The sequence below is a fragment of the Homo sapiens genome, chromosome 22 (assembly GCF_000001405.40).
Source record: "Homo sapiens chromosome 22, GRCh38.p14 Primary Assembly".
Taxonomy (NCBI): domain Eukaryota; kingdom Metazoa; phylum Chordata; class Mammalia; order Primates; family Hominidae; genus Homo; species Homo sapiens.
In genome coordinates this window covers 13677748-13700488 of record NC_000022.11, presented here as the reverse complement: position 1 = coordinate 13700488, position 22741 = coordinate 13677748, and the positions used below count along the sequence as shown (strand labels likewise).

The 22741-nt window shown below is 38.8% G+C and overlaps 1 annotated feature.

Annotated features, from left to right (window-relative positions):
* Window positions 1-22741: part of a centromere (Linear centromere model derived predominantly from reads generated in PMID: 17803354. This region does not represent an actual centromere sequence, as long-range ordering of repeats and unmapped WGS contigs is not provided by the model. For details of model production, see http://arxiv.org/abs/1307.0035.) that runs on past both edges of the window.

Below are 22741 nucleotides of genomic sequence, written 5' to 3'. Positions count from 1 at the left end.
AACGTCCACTTCCATATACTACAAAAAGAGCGTTTCAAACCTGCTCTATGAAAGGCAATGTTCAGCTCTGTGACTTGAATGCAGACATCACAGAGCAGTTTCTGAGAATGCTTCTGTCTAGATTTTATAGGAATATATTCCCGTTTCCAACGAAATCTTCACAGCTATCCAAATATCCACTTGCAGATTCCACAAAAAGAGTGTATCAAAACTGCTCTGTCAAAAGGAAGGTTCTTTTCTGTTAGGTGAGTGCATACGTCATAAAGGAGTTTCTGAGAATGTTCCTGTCTAGTGGTTATGAGAAGATATTTGCTTTTTCCCCGTAGGCCTCAAAGCGCTCCAATTGTCCACTTGCACATACTACAAAAAGAGTGCTTCAAAGCTGCTCTCTGAAAGGGAATGTTCAACTGTATGAGTTGAATGCAAACATCACAAAGACGTTTCTGAGAATGCTTCTGTCTAGATTTGATATGAAGATATTCCCGTTTCCAACGAAATCTTCAAATCTATCGAAATGTCCACTTGCAGATTCAACAAAAAGTGTTTTTCAGAACTGCTCTATCAAAAGAAAGATCCACCTCTCTTAGCTGAGTTGACACATCACAAACAAGTTTATGAGAATGCTTCTGTCTAGTTTTTATTTGAAGATATTTCCTTTCTCACCATAGACCTGAAAGCTGTCCTAATGTTCACGTCCAGATACTACAGAAAGAGTGTTTCAAAACTGCTGTACGAAAGGGAATGTTCAACTCTGTGACTTGAATGCACACATCACAAAGAAGTTTCTGAGGATGCTGCTGTCTACTTTTTATACGTAATCCCGTTTCCAACGAAATCCTCCAAGCTATCCAAATATCCACTTGCAGATTCCACAGAAAGACTGTTTCAAAACTGCTCTGTCAATAGAAAGGTTCAACTCTTTTAGCTGCGTGAATATATCCCAAAGAAGATTCTGAGATTGCTTCTGTCTAGTTTTTATGGGAAGATATTTCCCTTTTCACCGTAGGCGTCAAGGCGCTCCAAATGTCCACTTCCAGATACTACAACAAGAGTGTTTCAAACCTACTCTGTGAAAGGGAATATTCAACTCTGTGACTTGAATGCACATATCACAAAGAAGTTTCTGAGAATGCTTCTGTCGAGATTTTATATGAAGATATTCCCGTTTCCAACGAAATCCTGAAATCTATCCAAATATCCCCTCGCAGATTCTACAGAAAGAGAGTTTCAAAACTGCTCTGTAAAAAGAAAGGTTCTACTCTGTTACTTGAGTACACACATCACAAACAAGTTTCACAGAATGCTTCTTTCTAGCTTGTAGGGGAAGATATTCCCTTTATCACCATGGGCCTCCAACCGTCCGAAACATCCACTTCCATATACTACAAAAAGAGCGTTTCAAACCTGCTCTATGAAAGGCAATGTTCAACTCTGTGACTTGAATACAGACATCACAGAGCAGTTTCTGAGAATGCCTCTGTCGAGATTTTATAGGAAGATATTCCCGTTTCCAACGAAATCTTCACAGCTATCCAAATATCCACTTGCAGATTCTACAAAAAGAGTGTATCAAAACTGCTCTGTCAAAAGGAAGGTTCTTCTCTGTTAGTTGAGTACATACGTCATACAGGAGTTTCTGAGAATGTTTCTGTCTAGTGGTTATGGGAAGATATTTGCTTTTTCACCGTAGGCCTCAGGGCGCTCCAAATTTTCTCTTGCACATGCTACAAAAAGAGTGCTTAAAAGCTGCTCTCTCAAAGGGAATGTTCAACTCTATGAGTTGAATGCAAACATCGCAAAGACGTTTCTGAGAATGCTTCTGTCTAGATTTGATATGAAGATATTCCCGTTTCCAACGAAATCTTCAAATCTATCCAAATGTCCACTTGCAGATTCAACAAAAAGTGTTTTTCAAAACTGCTGTAACAAAAGAAAGATCCGCCTCTGTTAGCTGAGTTCACACATCACAAACAAGTTTATGAGAATGCTTCTGTCTAGTTTTTATTTGAAGATATTTCCTTTCTCACCATAGACCTGAAAGGTGTCCTAATGTTCACTTCCAGATACTACAGAAAGAGTGTTTCAAAACTGCTGTACGAAAGGGAATGTTCAACTCTGTGACTTGAATGCACACATCACAAAGAAGTTTCTGAGGATGCTGCTGTCTACTTTTTATACGTAATCCCGTTTCCAACGAAATCCTCCAAGTTATCCAAATATCCACTTGCAGATTCCACAGAAAGACTGTTTCAAAACTGCTCTGTCAATAGAAAGGTTCAACTCTGTTAGCTGCGTCCATATATCCCAAAGAAGATTCTGAGATTGCTTCTGTCTAGTTTTTATGGGAAGATATTTCCCTTTTCACCGTAGGCGTCAAGGCGCTCCAAATGTCCACTTCCAGATACTACAAAAAGAGTGTTTCAAACCTATTCTGTGAAAGGGAATATTCAACTCTGTGACTTGAATGCACATATCACAAAGAAGTTTCTGAGAATGCTTCTGTCGAGATTTTATATGAAGATATTCCCGTTTCCAACGAAATCCTGAAATCTATCCAAATATCCCCTCGCAGATTCTACAAAAAGAGTGTTTCAAAACTGCTCTGTAAAAAGAAAGGTTCAACTCTGTTAGTTGAGTACACACCTCACAAACAAGTTTCACAGAATGCTTCTTTCTAGCTTGTAGGGGAAGATATTCCTTTATCACCATGGGCCTCAAACTGTCCGAAACGTCTACTTCCATATACTACAAAAAGAGCGTTTCAAACCTGCTCTATGAAAGGCAATGTTCAGCTCTGTGACTTGAATGCAGACATCACAGAGCAGTTTCTGAGAATGCTTCTGTCTAGATTTTATAGGAAGATATTCCCGTTTCCAACGAAATCTTCACAGGTATCCAAATATCCACCTGCAGATTCTACAAAAAGAGTGTATCAAAACTGCTCTGTCAAAAGGAAGGTTCTTCTCTGTTAGGTGAGTGCATACGTCATAAAGGAGTTTCTGAGAATGTTTCTGTCTAGTGGTTATGGGAAGATATTTGCTTTTTCCCCGTAGGCCTCAGGGCGCTCCAAATGTCCACTTGCACATGCTACAAAAAGAGTGCTTCAAAGCTACTCACTGGAAGGGAATGTTCAACTCTATGAGTTGAATGCAAACATCACAAAGACGTTTCTGAGAATGCTTCTGTCTAGATTTGATATGAAGATATTCCCGTTTCCAACGAAATCTTCAAATCTATCCAAATGTCCACTTGCAGATTCAACAAAAAGTGTTTTTCAGAACTGCTCTATCGAAAGATCCACCTCTGTTAGCTGAGTTCACACATCACAAACAAATTTATGAGAATGCTTCTGTCTAGTTTTTATTTGAAGGTATTTCCTTTCTCACCATAGACCTGAAAGCTGTCCTAATGTTCACTTCCAGATACTACAGAAAGAGTGTTTCAAAACTGCTGTACGAAAGGGAATGTTCAACTCTGTGACTTGAATGCACACATCACAAAGAAGTTTCTGAGGATGCTGCTGTCTACTTTTTATACGTAATCCCGTTTCCAACGAAATCCTCCAAGCTATCCAAATATCCAATTGCAGATTCCACAGAAAGACTGTTTCAAAACTGCTCTGTCAATAGAAAGGTTCAACTCTGTTAGCTGCGTGCATATATCCCAAAGAAGATTCTGAGATTACTTCTATCTAGTTTTTATGGGAAGATATTTCCCTTTTCACCGTAGGCGTCAAGGCGCTCCAAATGTCCACTTCCAGATACTGCAAAAAGAGTGTTTCAAACCTACTCTGTGAAAGGGAATATTCAACTCTGTGACTTGAATGCAGATATCACAAAGAAGTTTCTGAGAATGCTTCTGTCGAGATTTTATATGAAGATATTCCCGTTTCCAACGAAATCCTGAAATCTCTCCAAATATCCCCTCGCAGATTCTACAAAAAGAGTGTTTCAAAACTGCTCTGTAAAAAGAAAGGTTCAACTCTGTTAGTTGAGTACACACATCAAAAACAAGTTTCACAGAATGCTTCTTTCTAGCTTGTAGGGGAAGATATTCCCTTTATCACCATGGGCCTCAAACCGTCTGAAACGTCCACTTCCATATACTACAAAAAGAGCATTTCAAACCTGCTCTATGAAAGGCAATGTTCAACTCTGTGACTTGAATGCACACATCACAGAGCAGTTTCTGAGAATGCTTCTGTCTAGATTTTATAGGAAGATATTCCCGTTTCCAACGAAATCTTCACAGCTATCCAAATATGCACTTGCAGATTCTACAAAAAGAGTGTATCAAAACTGCTCTGTGAAAAAGAATGTTCTTCTCTGTTAGTTGAGTACATACGTCATAAAGGAGTTTCTGAGAATGTTTCTGTCTAGTGGTTATGGGAAGATATTTGCTTTTTCACCGTAGGCCTCAGAGCGCTCCAAATATCCACTTGAACATACTACAAAAAGAGTGATTCAAAGCTGCTCTCTGAAACGGAATGTTCAACTCTATGAGTTGAATGCAACCATCACAAAGACGTTTCTGAGAATGCTTCTGTCTAGATTTGATATGAAGATATTCCCGTTTCCAACGAAATCTTCAAATCTATCCAAATGTCCACTTGCAGATTCAACAAAAGAGTTTTTCAGAACTGCTCTATCAAAAGAAAGATCCACCTCTGTTAGCTGAGTTCACACATCACAAACAAGTTTATGAGAATGCTTCTGTCTAGTTTTTATTTGAAGATATTTCCTTTCTCACCATAGACCTGAAAGCTCTCCTAATGTTCACTTCCAGATACTACAGAAAGAGTGTTTCAAAACTGCTGTATGAAAGGGAATGTTCAACTCTGTGACTTGAATGCACACATCACAAAGAAGTTTCTGAGGATGCTGCTGTCTACTTTTTATACGTAATCCCGTTTCCAACGAAATCCTCCATGCTATCCAAATATCCACTTGCAGATTCCACAGAAAGACTGTTTCAAAACTGCTCTGTCAATAGAAAGGTTCAACTCTGTTAGCTGTGTGCATATATCTCAAAGAAAATTCTGAGATTGCTTCTGTCTTGTTTTTATGGGAAGATATTTCCCTTTTCACCGTAGGCGTCAAGGCGCTCCAAATGTCCACTTCCAGATACTACAAAAAGAGTGTTTCAAACCTACTCTGTGAAAGGGAATATTCAACTCTGTGACTTGAATGCACATATCACAAGGAAGTTTCTGAGAATGCTTCCTGTCGAGATTTTATATGAAGATATTCCCGTTTCCAACGAAATGCTGAAATGTATCCAAATATCCCCTCGCAGATTCTACAAAAAGAGTGTTTCAAAACTGCTCTGTAAAAAGAAAGGTTCAACTCTGTTAGTTGAGTACACACATCACAAACAAGTTTCACAGAATGCTTTCTTTCTAGCTTGTAGGGGAAGATATTCCCTTTATCACCATGGGCCTCAAACCGTCCGAAAAGTCCACTTCCATATACTACAAAAAGAGCGTTTCAAACCTGCTCTATGAAAGGCAATGTTCAACTCTGTGACTTGAATGCAGACATCACAGAGCAGTTTCTGAGAATGCTTCTGTCTAGATTTTATACGAAGATATTCCCGTTTCCAACGAAATCTTCACAGGTATCAAAATATCCACTTGCAGATTCTACAAAAAGAGTGTATCAAAACTGCTCTGTCAAAAGGAAGGTTCTTCTCTGTTAGGTGAGTGCATACGTCATAAAGGAGTTTCTGAGAATGTTTCTGTCTAGTGGTTATGGGAAGACATTTGCTTTTTCACCGTAGGCCACAGAGCGCTCCAAATATCCACTTGCACATACTACAAAAAGAGTGCCTCAAAGCTGCTCTCTGAAAGGGAATGTTCAACTCTATGAGTTGAATGCAAACATCGCAAAGACGTTTCTGAGAATGCTTCTGTCTAGATTTGATATGAAGATATTCCCGTTTCCAACGAAATCTTCAAATTTATCCAAATGTCCACTTGCAGATTCAACAAAAAGTGTTTTTCAGAACTGCTCTATCAAAAGAAAGATCCACCTCTGTTAGCTGAGTTCACACATCACAAACAAGTTTATGAGAATGCTTCTGTCTAGTTTTTATTTGAAGATATTTTCTTTCTCACCATAGACCTGAAAGCTGTCCTAATGTTCACTTCCAGATACTACAGAAAGAGTGTTTCAAAACTGCTGTACGAAAGGGAATGTTCAACTCTGTGACTTGAATGCACACATCACAAAGAAGTTTCTGAGGATGCTGCTGTCTACTTTTTATGCGTAATCCCGTTTCCAACGAAATCCTCCAAGCTATCCCAATATCCACTTGCAGATTCCACAGAAAGACTGTTTCAAAACTGCTCTGTCAATAGAAAGGTTCAACTCTGTTAGCTGCGTGCATATATCCCAAAGAAGATTCTGAGATTGCTTCTGTCTAGTTTTTATGGGAAGATATTTCCCTTTTCACCGTAGGTGTCAAGGCGCTCCAAATGTCTACTTCCAGATACTACAAAAAGAGTGTTTCAAACCTACTCTGTGAAAGGGAATATTCAACTCTGTGACTTGAATGCACATATCACAAGGAAGTTTCTGAGAATGCTTCTGTCGAGATTTTGTATGAAGATATTCCCGTTTCCAACGAAATCCTGAAATCTATCCAAATTTCCCCTCGCAGATTATACAAAAAGAGTGTTTCAAAACTGCTCTGTGAAAAGAAAGGTTCAACTCTGTTAGTTGAGTACACACATCACAAACAAGTTTCACAGAATGCTTCTTTCTAGCTTGTAGGGGAAGATATTCCCTTTATCACCATGGGCCTCAAACCGTCCGAAAAGTCCACTTCCATATACTACAAAAAGAGCGTTTCAAACCTGCTCTATGAAAGGCAATGTTCAACTCTGTGACTTGAATGCAGACATCACAGAGGCAGTTTCTGAGAATGCTTCTGTCTAGATTTTATAGGAAGATATTCCCGTTTCCAACGAAATCTTCACAGCTATCCAAATATCCACTTGCAGATTCTACAAAAAGAGTGTATCAAAACTGCTCTGTCAAAAGGAAGGTTCTTCTCTGTTAGGTGAGTGCATACGTCATAAAGGAGTTTCTGAGAATGTTTTCTGTCTAGTGGTTATGGGAAGATATTTGCTTTTTCACCGTAGGCCTCAGAGCGCTCCAAATATCCACTTGCACATACTACAAAAAGAGTGCCTCAAAGCTGCTCTTTGAAACGGAATGTTCAACTCTATGAGTTGAATGCAAACATCACAAAGACGTTTCTGAGAATGCTTCTGTCTAGATTTGATATGAAGATATTCCCGTTTCCAACGAAATCTTCAAATCTATCCAAATGTCCACTTGCAGATTCAACAAAAAGTGTTTTTCAGAACTGCTCTATCAAAAGAAAGATCCACCTCTGTTAGCTGAGTTCACACATCACAAACAAGTTTATGAAAATGTTTCTGTCTAGTTTTTATTTGAAGATATTGCCTTTCTCACCATAGACCTGAAAGCTGTCCTAATGTTCACTTCCAGATACTACAGAAAGAGTGTTTCAAAACTGCTGTACGAAAGGGAATGTTCAACTCTGTGACTTGAATGAACACATCACAAAGAAGTTTCCTGAGGATGCTGCTGTCTACTTTTTATACGTAATCCCGTTTCCAACGAAATCCTCCAAGCTATCCAAATATCCACTTGCAGATTCCACAGAAAGACTGTTTCAAAACTGCTCTGTCAATAGAAAGGTTTAACTCTGTTAGCTGCGTGCATATATCCCAAAGAAGATTCTGAGATTGCTTCTGTCTAGTTTTTATGGGAAGATATTTCCCTTTTCACCGTGGGCATCAAGGCGCTCCAAATGTCCACTTCCAGATACTACAAAAAGAGTGTTTCAAACCTACTCTGTGAAAGGGAATATTCAACTCTGTGACTTGAATGCACATATCACAAGGAAGTTTCTGAGAATGCTTCTGTCGAGTATTTTATATGAAGATATTCCCGTTTCCAACGAAATCCTGAAATCTATCCAAATATCCCCTCGCAGATTCTACAAAAAGAGTGTTTCAAAACTGCTCTGTAAAAAGAAAGGTTCAACTCTGTTAGTTGAGTACACACATCACAACAAGTTTCACAGAATGCTTCTTTCTAGCTTGTAGGGGAATATATTCCCTTTATCACCATGGGTCTCAAACCGTCCGAAACGTCCACTTCCATATACTACAAAAAGAGCGGTTCAAACCTGCTCTATGAAAGGCAATGTTCAACTCTGTGACTTGAATGCAGACATCACAGAGCTGTTTCTGAGAATGCTTCTGTCTAGATTTTATAGGATGATATTCCCGTTTCCAACGAAATCTTCACAGCTATCCAAATATCCACTTGCAGATTCTACAAAAAGAGTGTATCCAAACTGCTCTGGCAAAAGGAAGGTTCTTCTCTGTTAGGTGAGTGCATACGTCATAAAGGAGTTTCTGAGAATGTTTCTGTCTAGTGGTTATGGGAAGATATTTGCTTTTTCACCTTAGGCCTCAGAGTGCTCCAAATATCCTTTTGCACATACTACAAAAAGAGTGCTTCAAAGCTGCTCTCTGAAACGGAATGTTCAACTCTATGAGTTGAATGCAAACATCACAAAGACGTTTCTGGGAATGCTTCTGTCTAGATTTGATATGAAGATATTCCCGTTTCCAACGAAATCTTCAAATCTATCCAAATGTCCACTGGCAGATTCAACAAAAAGTGTTTTTCAGAACTGCTCTATCAAAAGAAAGATCCACCTCTGTTAGCTGAGTTCACACATCACAAAGAGGTTTATGAGAATGCTTCTGTCTAGTTTTTATTTGAAGATATTTCCTTTCTCACCATAGACCTGAAAGCTGTCCTAATGTTCACTTCCATGTACTACAGAAAGAGTGTTTCAAAACTGCTGTACGAAAGGGAATGTTCAACTCTGTGACTTGAATGCACACATCACAAAGAAGTTTCTGAGGATGCTGCTGTCTACTTTTTATACGTAATCCCGTTTCCAACGAAATCCTCCAAGCTATCCAAATATCCACTTGCAGATTCCACAGAAAGACTGTTTCAAAACTGCTCTGTCAATAGAAAGGTTCAACTCTGTTAGCTGCGTGCATATATCCCAAAGAAGATGCTGAGATTGCTTCTGTCTAGTTTTTATGGGAAGATATTTCCCTTTTCACCGTAGGCGTCAAGGCGCTCCAAATGTCCACTTCCAGATACTACAAAAAGAGTGTTTCAAACCTACTCTGTGAAAGGGAATATTCAACTACTGTGACTTGAAGGCAGATATCACAAAGAAGTTTCTGAGAATGCTTTCTGTCGAGATTTTATATGAAGATATTCCCGTTTCCAACGAAATCCTGAAATCTATCCAAATATCCTCTCGCAGATTCTACAAAAAGAGTGTTTCAAAACTGCTCTGTAAAAAGAAAGGTTCAACTCTGTTAGTTGAGTACACACATCAAAAACAACTTTCACAGAATGCTTCTTTCTAGCTTGTAGGGGAAGATATTCCCTTTATCACCATGGGCCTCCAACCGTCCGAAACATTCTCTTCCATATACTACAAAAAAGCATTTCAAACCTGCTCTATGAAAGGCAATGTTCAACTCTGTGACTTGAATGCAGACATCACAGAGCAGTTTCTGAGAATGCTTCTGTCTAGATTTTATAGGAAGATATTCCCGTTTCCAACGAAATCTTCACAGCTATCCAAATATCCACTTGCAGATTCTACAAAAAGAGTGTATCAAAACTGCTCTGTCAAAAGGAAGGTTCTTCTCCGTTAGGTGAGTGCACACGTCATAAAGGAGTTTCTGAGAATGTTTCAGTGTAGTGGTTATGGGAAGATATTTGCTTTTTCCCCGTAGGCCTCAGAGCGCTCCAAATATCCACTTGCACATACTACAAAAAGAGTACTTCAAAGCTGCTCTCTGAAACGGAATGTTCAACTCTATGAGTTGAATGCAAACATCACAAAGACGTTTCTGAGAATGCTTCTGTCTAGATTTGATATGAAGATATTCCCGTTTCCAACGAAATCTTCAAATCTATCCAAATGTCCACTTGCAGATTCAACAAAAAGTGTTTTTCAGAACTGCTCTATCAAAAGAAAGATCCACCTCTCTTAGCTGAGTTCACACATCACAAACAAGTTTATGAAAATGCTTCTGTCTAGTTTTTATTTGAAGATATTTCCTTTCTCACCATAGAGCTGAAAGCTGTCCTAATGTTCACTTCCAGATACTACAGAAAGAGTGTTTCAAAACTGCTGTACCAAAGGGAATGTTCAACTCTGTGACTTGAATGCACACATCACAAAGAAGTTTCGGAGGATGCTGCTGTCTACTTTTTATACGTAATCCCGTTTCCAACGAAATCCTCCAATCTATACAAATATCCACTTGCAGATTCCACAGAAAGACTGTTTCAAAACTGCTCTGTCAATAGAAAGGTTCAACTCTGTTAGCTGCGTGCATATATCCCAAAGAAGATTCTGAGATTGCTTCTGTCTACTTTTTATGAGAAGATATTTCCCTTTTCACCGTAGGCGTCAAGGCGCTCCAAATGTCCACTTCCAGATACTACAAAAAGAGTGTTTCAAACCTACTCTGTGAAAGGGAATATTCAACTCTGTGACTTGAATGCACATATCACAAAGAAGCTTTCTGAGAATGCTTCTGTCGAGATTTTATATGAAGATATTCCCATTTCCAACGAAATCCTGAAATCTATCCAAATATCCCCTCTCAGATTCTACAAAAAGAGTGTTTCAAAACTGCTCTGTAAAAAGAAAGGTTCAACTCTGTTAGTTGAGTACACACATCACAAACAAGTTTCACAGAATGCTTCTTTCTAGCTTGTAGGGGAAGATATTCCCTTTATCACCATGGGCCTCAAACCGTCCGAAACGTCCACTTCCATATACTACAAAAAGAGCGTTTCAAACCTGCTCTAGGAAAGGCAATGTTCAACTCTGTGACTTGAATGCAGACATCACAGAGCAATTTCTGAGAATGCTTCTGTCTATATTTTATAGGAAGATATTCCCGTTTCCAACGAAATCTTCACAGCTATCCAAATATCCACTTGCAGATTCTACAAAAAGAGTGTATCAAAACTGCTCTGTCAAAAGGAAGGTTCTTTTCTGTTAGGTGAGTGCATACGTCATAAAGGAGTTTCTGAGAATGTTTCTGTCTAGTGGTTATGGGAAGATATTTGCTTTTTCACCTTAGGCCTCAGAGCGCTCCAAATATCCCCTTGCACATACTACAAAAAGAGTGCTTCAAAGCTGCTCTCTGAAAGGGAATGTTCAACTCTATGAGTTGAATGCAAACATCACAAAGACGTTTCTGGGAATGCTTCTGTCTAGATTTGATATGAAGATATTCCCGTTTCCAACGGAATCTTCATATCTATCCAAATGTCCACTTGCAGATTCAACAAAAAGTGTTTTTCAAAACTGCTGTATCAAAAGAAAGATCCACGTCCGTTAGCTGAGTTCACACATCACAAACAAGTTTATGAGAATGCTTCTGTCTAGTTTTTATTTGAAGATATTTCCTTTCTCACCATAGACCTGAAAGCTGTCCTATTGTTCACTTCCAGATACTACAGAAAGAGTGTTTCAAAACTGCTGTACGAAAGGGAATGTTCAACTCTGTGACTTGAATGCACACATCACAAAGAAGTTTCTGAGGATGCTGCTGTCTACTTTTTATACGTAATCCCGTTTCCAAAGAGATCCTCCAAGCTATCCAAATATCCACTTGCAGATTCCACAGAAGGACTGTTTCTAAACTGCTCTGTCAATAGAAAGGTTCAACTCTGTGAGCTGCGTGCATATATCCCAAAGAAGATTCTGAGATTGCTTCTGTCTACTTTTTATGAGAAGTTATTTCCCTTTTCACCGTAGGTGTCAAGGCGCTCCAAATGTCCACTTCCAGATACTACAAAAAGAGTGTTTCAAACCTACTCTGTGAAAGGGAATATTCAACTCTGTGACTTGAATGCACATATCACAAAGAAGTTTCTGAGAATGCTTTCTGTCGAGAATTTTCTATGAAGATATTCCCGTTTCCAACGAAATCCTGAAATCTATCCAAATATCCCCTCGCAGATTCTACAAAAAGAGTGTTTCAAAACTGCTCTGTAAAAAGAAAGGTTCAACTCTGTTACTTCAGTACACACATCACAAACAAGTTTCACAGAATGCTTCTTTCTAGCTTGTAGGGGAAGATATTCCCTTTATCACCATGGGCCTCAAACCGTCCGAAACGTCCACTTCCATATACTACAAAAAGAGCGTTTCAAACCTGCTCTATGAAAGGCAATGTTCAACTCTTTGACTTGAATGCAGACATCACAGAGCAGTTTCTGAGAATGCTTCTGTCTAGACTTTATAGGAAGATATTCCCGTTTCCAACGAAATCTTCACAGCTATCCAAATATGCACTTGCAGATTCTACAAAAAGAGTGTATCAAAAGTGCTCTGTCAAAAGGAAGGTTCTTCTCTGTTAGTTGAGTACATACGTCATAAAGGAGTTTCTGAGAATGTTTTCTGTCTAGTGGTTATGGGAAGATATTTGCTTTTTCACCTTAGGCCTCAGAGCGGCTCCATATATCCCCTTGCACATACTACAAAAAGAGTGCTTCAAAGCTGCTCTCTGAAAGGGAATGTTCAACTCTATGAGTTGAATGCAAACATCACAAAGACGTTTCTGAGAATGCTTCTGTCTAGATTTGATATGAAGATATTCCCGTTTCCAAAGAAATCTTCAAATCTATCCAAATGTCCACTTGCAGATTCAACAAAAAGTGTTTTTCAAAACTGCTCTATCAAAAGAAAGATCCACGGCTCTTAGCTGAGTTCACACATCACGAACAAGTTTATGAGAATGCTTCTGTCTAGTTTTTATTTGAAGATATTTCCTTTCTCACCATAGACCTGAAAGCTGTCCTAATGTTCACTTCCAGATACTACAGAAAGAGTGTTTCAAAACTGCTGTACGAAAGGTAATGTTCAACTCTGTGACTTGAATGCACACATCACAAAGAAGTTTCTGAGGATGCTGCTGTCTACTTTTTATACGTAATCCCGTTTCCAACGAAATCCTCCAATCTATCCAAATATCCACTTGCAGATTCCACAGAAAGACTGTTTCAAATCTGCTCAGTCAATAGAAAGGTTCAACTCTGTTAGCTGCGTGCATATATCCCAAAGAAGATTCTGAGATTGCTTCTGTCTAGTTTTTATGGGAAGATATTTCCCTTTTCACCGTAGGTGTCAAGGCGCTCCAAATGTCCACTTCCAGATACTACAAAAAGAGTGTTTCAAACCTACTCTGTGAAAGGGAATATTCAACTCTGTGATTGAATGCACATATCACAAAGAAGTTTCTGAGAATGCTTCTGTCGCGATTTTATATGAAGATATTCCCGTTTCCAACAAAATCCTGAAATCTTTCCAAATATCTCCTCGCAGATTCTACAAAAAGAGTGTTTCAAAACTGCTCTGTAAAAAGAAAGGTTCAACTCTGTTAGTTGAGTACACACATCACAAACAAGTTTCACAGAATGCTTCTTTCTAGCTTGTAGGGGAATATATTCCCTTTATCACCATGGGCCTCCAACCGTCCGAAACATCCACTTCCATATACTACAAAAAGAGCGTTTCAAACCTGCTCTATGAAAGGCAATGTTCAACTCTGTGACTTGAATGCAGACATCACAGAGCAGTTTCTGAGAATGCTTCTGTCTAGATTTTATAGGAAGATATTCCCGTTTCCAACGAAATCTTCACAGCTATCCAAATATCCACTTGCAGATTCTACAAAAAGAGTGTATCAAAACTGCTCTGTCAAAAGGAAGGTTCTTCTCTGTTGGGTGAGTGCATACGTCAGAAAGGAGTTTCTGAGAATGTTTCTGTCTAGTGGTTATGGGAAGATATTTGCTTTTTCACCTTAGGCCTCAGAGCGATCCAAATATCCACTTGCACATACTACAAAAAGAGTGCTTCAAAGCTGCTCTCTGAAAGTGAATGTTCAACTCTATGAGTTGAATGCAAACATCACAAAGACGTTTCCGAGAATGCTTCTGTCTAGATTTGATATGAAGATATTCCCGTTTCCAACGAAATCTTCAAATCTATCCAAATGTCTACTTGCAGATTCAACAAAAAGTGTTTTTCAAAACTGCTGTATCAAAAGAAAGATCCACGTCTGTTAGCTCAGTTCACACATCACAAACAAGTTTATGAGAATGCTTCTGTCTAGTTTTTATTTGAAGATATTTCCTTTCTCACCATAGACCTGAAAGCTGTCCTAATGTTCACTTCCAGATACTACAGAAAGAGTGTTTCAAAACTGCTGTACGAAAGGGAATGTTCAACTGTGTGACTTGAATGCACACATCACAAAGAAGTTTCTGAGGATGCTGCTGTCTACTTTTTATACGTAATGCCGTTTCCAACGAAATCCTCCAAGCTATCCAAATATCCACTTGCAGATTCCACAGAAAGACTGTTTCAAAACTGCTCTGTCAATAGAAAGGTTCAACTCTGTTAGCTGCGTGCATATATCCCAAAGAAGATTCTGAGATTGCTTCTGTCTAGTTTTTATGGGAAGATATTTCCCTTTTCACCGTAGGCGTCAAGGCGCTCCAAATGTCCACTTCCAGATACTACAAAAAGAGTGTTTCAAACCTACTCTGTGAAAGGGAATATTCAACTCTGTGACTTGAATGCAGATATCACAAAGAAGTTTATGAGAATGCTTCTGTCGAGATTTTATATGAAGATATTCCCGTTTCCAACGAAATGCTGAAATGTATCCAAATATCCCCTCGCAGATTCTACAAAAAGAGTGTTTCAAAACTGCTCTGTAAAAAGAAAGGTTCATCTCTGTTAGTTGAGTACACACATCACAAACAAGTTTCACAGAATGCTTCTTTCTAGCTTGTAGGGGAAGATATTCCCTTTATCACCATGGGCCTCAAACCGTCCGAAACATCCACTTCCATATACTACAAAAAGAGCGTTTCCAACCTGCTCTATGAAAGGCAATGTTCAACTCTGTGACTTGAATGGAGACATCACAGAGCAGTTTCTGAGAATGCTTCTGTCTAGATTTTATAGGAAGATATTCCCGTTTCCAACGAAAGCTTCACAGCTATCCAAATATCCACTTGCAGATTCTACAAAAAGAGTGTATCAAAACTGCTCTGTCAAAAGGAAGGTTCTTCTCTGTTAGGTGAGTGCATACGTCATACAGGAGTTTCTGAGAATGTTTCTGTCTAGTGGTTAGGGGAAGATATTTGCTTTTTCACCTTAGGCCTCACAGCGCTCCAAATATCCCCTTGCACATACTACAAAAAGAGTGCTTCAAAGCTGCTCTCTGAAACGGAATGTTCAACTGTATGAGTTGAATGCAAACATCACAAAGACGTTTCTGAGAATGCTTCTCTCTAGATTTGATATGAAGATATTCCCGTTTCCAACGAAATCTTCAAATCTATCCAAATGTCCACTTGCAGATTCAACAAAAAGTGTTTTTCAGAACTGCTCTATCAAAAGAAAGATCCACCTCTGTTAGCTGAGTTCACACATCACAAACAAGTTTATGAGAATGCTTCTGTCTAGTTTTTATTTGAAGATATTTCCTTTCTCACCATAGACCTGAAAGCTGTCCTAATGTTCACTTCCAGTTACTACAGAAAGAGTGTTTCAAAACTGCTGTACGAAAGGGAATGTTCAACTTCTGTGACTTGAATGCACACATCACAAAGAAGTTTCTGAGGATGCTGCTGTCTACTTTTTATACTTAATCCCGTTTCCAACGAAATCCTCCAAGCTATCCAAATATCCACTTGCAGATTCCACAGAAAGACTGTTTCAAAACTGCTCTGTCAATAGAAAGGTTCAATTCTGTTAGCTGCGTGCATATATCCCAAAGAAGATTCTGAGATTGCTTCTGTCTAGTTTTTATGGGAAGATATTTCCCTTTTCACCGTGGGCGTCAAGGCGCTCCAAATGTCCACTTCCAGATACTACAAAAAGAGTGTTTCAAACCTACTCTGTGAAAGGGAATATTCAACTCTGTGACTTGAATGCACATATCACAAGGAAGTTTTCTGAGAATGCTTCTGTCGAGATTTTATATGAAGATATTCCCGTTTCCAACGAAATCCTGAAATCTATCCAAATATCCCCTCGCAGATTCTACAAAAAGAGTGTTTCAAAACTGCTCTGTAAAAAGAAAGGTTCAACTCTGTTAGTTGAGTGCACATATCACAAACAAGTTTCACAGAATGCTTCTTTCTAGCTTGTAGGGGAAGATATTCCCTTTATCACCATGGGCCTCAAACCGTCCGAAACGTCCACTTCCATATACTACAAAAAGAGCGTTTCAAACCTGTTCTAGGAAAGGCAATGTTCAACTCTGTGACTTGAATGCAGACATCACAGAGCAGTTTCTGAGAATGCTTCTGTCTAGATTGTATAGGAAGATATTCCCGTTTCCAACGAAATCTTCACAGCTATCCAAATATCCACTTGCAGATTCTACAAAAAGAGTGTATCAAAACTGCTCTGTCAAAAGGAAGGTTCTTCTCTGTTAGGTGAGTGCATACGTCATAAAGGAGTTTCTGAGAATGTTTCTGTCTAGTGGTTATGGGAAGATATTTGCTTTTTCACCTTAGGCCTCAGAGTGCTCCAAATATCCCCTTGCACATACTACAAAAAGAGTGCTTCAAAGCTGCTCTCTGAAAGGGAATGTTCAACTCTATGAGTTGAATGCAAACATCACAAAGACGTTTCTGAGAATGCTTCTGTCTAGATTTGATATGAAGATATTCCCGTTTCCAACGAAATCTTCAAATCTATCCAAATGTCCACTTGCAGATTCAACAAAAAGTGTTTTTCAGAACTGCTCTATCAAAAGAAAGATCCACATCTGTTAGCTGAGTTCACACATCACAAACAACTTTATGAGAATGCTTCTGTGTAGTTTTTATTTGAAGATATTTCCTTTCTCACCATAGAGCTGAAATCTGTCCTAATGTTCACTTCCAGATACTACAGAAAGAGTGTTTCAAAACTGCTGTACGAAAGGGAATGTTCAACTCTGTGACTTTAATGCACACATCACAAAGAAGTTTCTGAGGATGCTGCTGTCTACTTTTTATACGTAATCCCGTTTCCAACGAAATCCTCCAAGCTATCCAAATATCCACTTGCAGATTCCACAGAAAGACTGTTTCTAAACTGCTCTGTCAATAGAAAGGTTCAACTCTGTTAGCTGCGTGCATATATCCCAAAGAAGATTCTGAGATTCCTTCTGTCTAGTTTTTATGGGAAGATATTTCCCTTTTCACCGTAGGCGTCAAGGCGCTCCAAATGTCCACTTCCAGATACTACAAAAAGAGTGTTTCAAACCTACTCTGTGAAAGGGAATATTCAACTCCTGTGACTTGAAGGCAGATATCACAAAGAAGTTTCTGAGAATGCTTCTGTCGAGATTTTATATGAAGATATTCCCGTTTCCAACGACATCCTGAAATCTATCCAAATATCCCCTCGCAGATTCTACAAAAAGAGTGTTTCAAAACTGCTCTGTAAAAAGAAAGGTTCAACTCTGTTAGTTGAGTACACACCTCACAAACAAGTTTCACAGAATGCTTCTTTCTAGCTTGTAGGGGAAGATATTCCCTTTATCATCATGGGCCTCAAACCGTCCGAAACGTCCACTTCCATATACTACAAAAAGAGCGTTTCAAACCTGCTCTATCAAAGGCAATGTTCAACTCTGTGACTTGAATGCAGACATCACAGAGCAGTTTCTGAGAATGCTTCTGTCTAGATTTTATAGGAAGATATTCCCGTTTCCAACGAAATCTTCACAGCTATCCAAATATCCACTTGCAGATTCTACAAAAAGAGTGTATCAAAACTGCTCTGTCAAAAGGAGGGTTCTTCTCTGTTAGTTGAGTACATACGTCATAAAGGAGTTTCTGAGAATGTTTCTGTCTAGTGGTTATGGGAAGATATTTGCTTTTTCACCGTAGGCCTCAGAGCGCTCCAAATATCCCCTTGCACATACTACAAAAAGAGTGCTTCAAAGCTGCGCTCTGAAAGGGAATGTTCAACTCTGTGAGTTGAATGCAAACATCACAAAGACGTTTTCTGAGAATGCTTCTGTCTAGATTTGATATGAAGATATTTCCGTTTCCAATGAAATCTTCAAATCTATTCAAGTGTCCACTTGCAGATTCAACAAAAAGTGTTTTTCAAAAGGGCTGTATAAAAAGAAAGATCCACCTCTGTTAGTTGAGTTCACACATCAAAACAAGTTTATGAGAATGCTTCTGTCTAGTTTTTATTTGAAGATATTTCCTTTCTCACAATAGACCTGAAAGCTCTCGTCCCGTTCACTTCCAGGTACTAGAGAAAGAGTGTTTCAAACCTGCTGTACGAAAGGGAATGTTCAACTCTTTGACTTGAATGCACACATCACAAAGAAGTTTCTGAGAATGCTGCTGTCTACTTTTTATACGTAATCCTGTTTCCAACGAAATCCTCCAAGCTATCCAAATATCCACTTGCAGATTCCACAGAAAGACTGTTTCAAAACTGCTATGTCAATAGAAAAGTTCAACTCTGTTAGCTGTGTGCATATATCCCAAAGAAGATTCTGAGATTGCTTCTGTCTAGTTTTTATGGGAAGATATTTCCCTTTTCACCGTAGGTGTCAAGGCGCTCCAAATGTCCACTTCCAGATATTACAAAAAGAGTGTTTCAAACCTACTCTCTGAAAGGGAATATTCAACTCTGTGACTTGAATGCAGATATCACAATGAAGTTTCTGAGAATGCTTCTGTCGAGATTTTATATGAAGATATTCCCGTTTCCAACGAAATGCTGAAATCTATCCAAATATCCCCTCGCAGATTCTACAAAAAGAGTGTTTCAAAACTGCTCTGTAAAAAGGAAGGTTCAACTCTGTTAGTTGAGTACACACATCACAAACAAGTTTCACAGAATGCTTCTTTCTAGCTTGTAGGGGAAGATATTCCCTTTATCACCATGGGCCTCAAACCGCCCGAAACGTCCACTTCCATATACTACAAAAAGAGGGTTTCAAACCTGCTCTATGAAAGGCAATGTTCAACTCTGTGACTTGAATGCAGACATCACAGAGCAGTTTCTGAGAATTCTTCTGTCTAGATTTTATAGGAAGATATTCCCGTTTCCAACGAAATCTTCACAGCTATCCAAATATCCACTTGCAGATTCTACAAAAAGAGTGTATCAAAACTGCTCTGTCAAAAGGAAGGTTCTTCTGTGTTAGGTGAGTGCATACGTCATAAAGGAGTTTCTGAGAATGTTTCTGTCTAGTGGTTATGGGAGATATTTGCTTTTTCCCCGTAGGCCTCAAAGCGCTCCAAATGTCCACTTGCACATACTACAAAAAGAGTGCTTCAAAGCTGCTCTCTGAAAGGGAATGTTCAACTCTATGAGTTGAATGCAAACATCACAAAGACGTTTCTGAGAATGCTTCTGTCTAGATTTGATATGAAGATATTCCCGTTTCCAACGAAATCTTCAAATCTATCCAAATGTCCACTTGCAGATTCAACAAAAAATGTTTTTCAGAACTGCTCTATCAAAAGAAAGATCCACCTCTGTTAGCTGAGTTCACACATCACAAACAAGTTTATGAGAATGCTTCTGTCTAGTTTATATTTGAAGATATTTCCTTTCTCACCATAGACCTGAAAGCTGTCCTAATGTTCACTTCCAGATACTACAGAAAGAGTGTTTCAAAACTGCTGTACGAAAGGGAATGTTCAACTCTGTGACTTGAATGCACACATCACAAAGAAGATTCTGAGGATGCTGCTGTCTACTTTTTATACGTAATCCCGTTTCCAACGAAATCCTCCAAGCTATCCAAATATCCACTTGCAGATTCCACAGAAAGACTGTTTCAAAACTGCTCTGTCAATAGAAAGGTTCAACTCTGTTAGCTGCGTGCATGTATCCCAAAGAAGATTCTGAGATTGCTTCTGTCTAGTTTTTATGGGAAGATATTTCCCTTTTCACCGTAGACGTCAAGGCGCTCCAAATGTCCACTTCCAGATACTACAAAAAGAGTGTTTCAAACCTACTCTGTGAAAGGGAATATTCAACTCTGTGACTTGAATGCACATATCACAAAGAAGTTTCTGAGAATGCTTCTGTCTAGATTTTATAGGAAGATATTCCCGTTTCCAACGAAATCTTCACAGCTATACAAATATCCACTTGCAGATAGTACAAAAAGAGTGTATCAAAAATGCTCTGTCAAAAGGAAAGTTCTTCTCTGCTAGTTGAGTACATACGTCATAAAGAAGTTTCTGAGAATGTTTCTTTCTAGCTTGTAGGGGAAGATATTCCCTTTATCACCATGGGCCTCCAACCGTCCGAAACATCCACTTCCATATACTCCAAAAAGAGCGTTTCAAACCTGCTCTATGAAAGGCAATGTTCAACTCTGTGACTTGAATGCAGACATCACAGAGCAGTTTCTGAGAATGCTTCTGTATAGATTTTATAGGAAGATATTCCCGTTTCCAACGAAATCTTCACAGCTATCCAAATATCCACTTGCAGATTCTACAAAAAGAGTGTATCAAAACTGCTCTGTCAAAAGGAAGGTTCTTTTCTGTTAGGTGAGTGCATACGTCATAAAGGATTTTCTGAGAATGCTTTTGTCTAGTGGTTATGGGAAGATATTTGCTTCTTCCCCGTAGGCCTCAGAACGCTCCAAATATCCACTTGCACATACTACAAAAAGAGTGCTTCAAAGCTGCTCTCTGAAACGGAATGTTCAACTCTATGAGTTGAATGCAAACATCACAAAGACGTTTCTGAGAATGCTTCTGTCTAGATTTGATATGAAGATATTCCCGTTTCCAACGAAATCTTCAAATCTATCCAAATGTCCACTTGCAGATTCAACAAAATGTGTTTTTCCGAACTGCTCTATCAAAAGAAAGATCCGCCTCTGTTAGCTGAGTTCACACATCACAAACAAGTTTATGAGAATGCTTCTGTCTAGTTTTTATTTGAAGATATTTCCTTTCTCAATATAGACCTGAAAGCTGTCCTAATATTCACTTTCAGATACTACAGAAAGAGTGTTTCAAAACTGCTGTATGAAAGGGAATGTTCAACTCTGTGACTTGAATGCACACATCACAAAGAAGTTTCTGAGGATGCTGCTGTCTACTTTTTATACGTAATCCCGTTTCCAACGAAATCCTCCAAGCTATCCAAATATCCACTTGCAGGTTCCACAGAAAGACTGTTTCAAAACTGCTATGTCAATAGAAAAGTTCAACTCTGTTAGCTGTGTGCATATATCCCAAAGAAGATTCTGAGATTGCTTCTGTCTAGTTTTTATGGGAAGATATTTCCCTTTTCACCGTAGGTGTCAAGGTGCTCCAAATGTCCAATTCCAGATACTACAAAAAGAGTGTTTCAAACCTACTCTGTGAAAGGGAATATTCAACTCTGTGACTTGAATGTAGATATCACAAAGAAGTTTCTGAGAATGCTTCTGTCGAGATTTTATATGAAGATATTCCCGTTTCCAACGAAATCCTGAAATCTATCCAAATATCCCCTCGCAGATTCTACAAAAAGAGTGTTTCAAAACTGCTCTTTAAAAAGAAAGGTTCAACTCTGTTAGTTGAGTACACACATCACAAACAAGTTTCACAGAATGCTTCTTTCTAGCTTGTAGGGGAAGATATTCCCTTTATCACCATGGGCCTCAAACCGTCCGATAAGTCCACTTCCATATACTACAAAAAGAGCGTTTCAAACCTGCTCTATGAAAGACAACGTTCAACTCTGTGACTTGAATGCAGACATCACAGAGCAGTTTCTGAGAATGCTTCTGTCTAGATTTTATAGGAAGATATTCCCGTTTCCAACGAAATCTTCACAGCTATCCAAATATCCACTTGCAGATTCTATAAAAAGAGTGTATCAAAACTGCTCTGTCAAAAGGAAGGTTCTTTTCTGTTAGGTGAGTGCATACGTCATAAAGGAGTTTCTGAGAATGTTTCTGTCTAGTGGTTATGGGAAGATATTTGCTTTTTCCCCGTAGGCCTCAGGGCACTCCAAATGTCCACTTGCACATGCTACAAAAAGAGTGCTTCAAAGCTACTCTCTGGAAGGGAATGTTCAACTCTATGAGTTGAATGCAAACATCACAAAGACGTTTCTGAGAATGCTTCTGTCTAGGTTTGATATGAAGATATTCCCGTTTCCAACGAAATCTTCAAATCTATCCAAATGTCCACTTGCAGATTCAACAAAAAGTGTTTTTCAGAACTGCTCTATCAAAAGAAAGATCCACCTCTGTTAGCTGAGTTCACACATCACAAACAAGTTTATGAGAATGCTTCTGTCTAGTTTTTATTTGAAGATATTTCCTTTCTCACCATAGACCTGAAAGCTGTCCTAATGTTCACTTCCAGATACTACAGAAAGAGTGTTTCAAAACTGCTGTACGAAAGGGAATGTTCAACTCTGTGACTTGAATGCACACATCACAAAGAAGTTTCTGAGGATACTGCTGTCTACTTTTTATACGTAATCCCATTTCCAACGAAATCCTCCAAGCTATCCAAATATCCACTTGCAGATTCCACAGAAAGACTGTTTCAAAACTGCTCTGTCAATAGAAAGG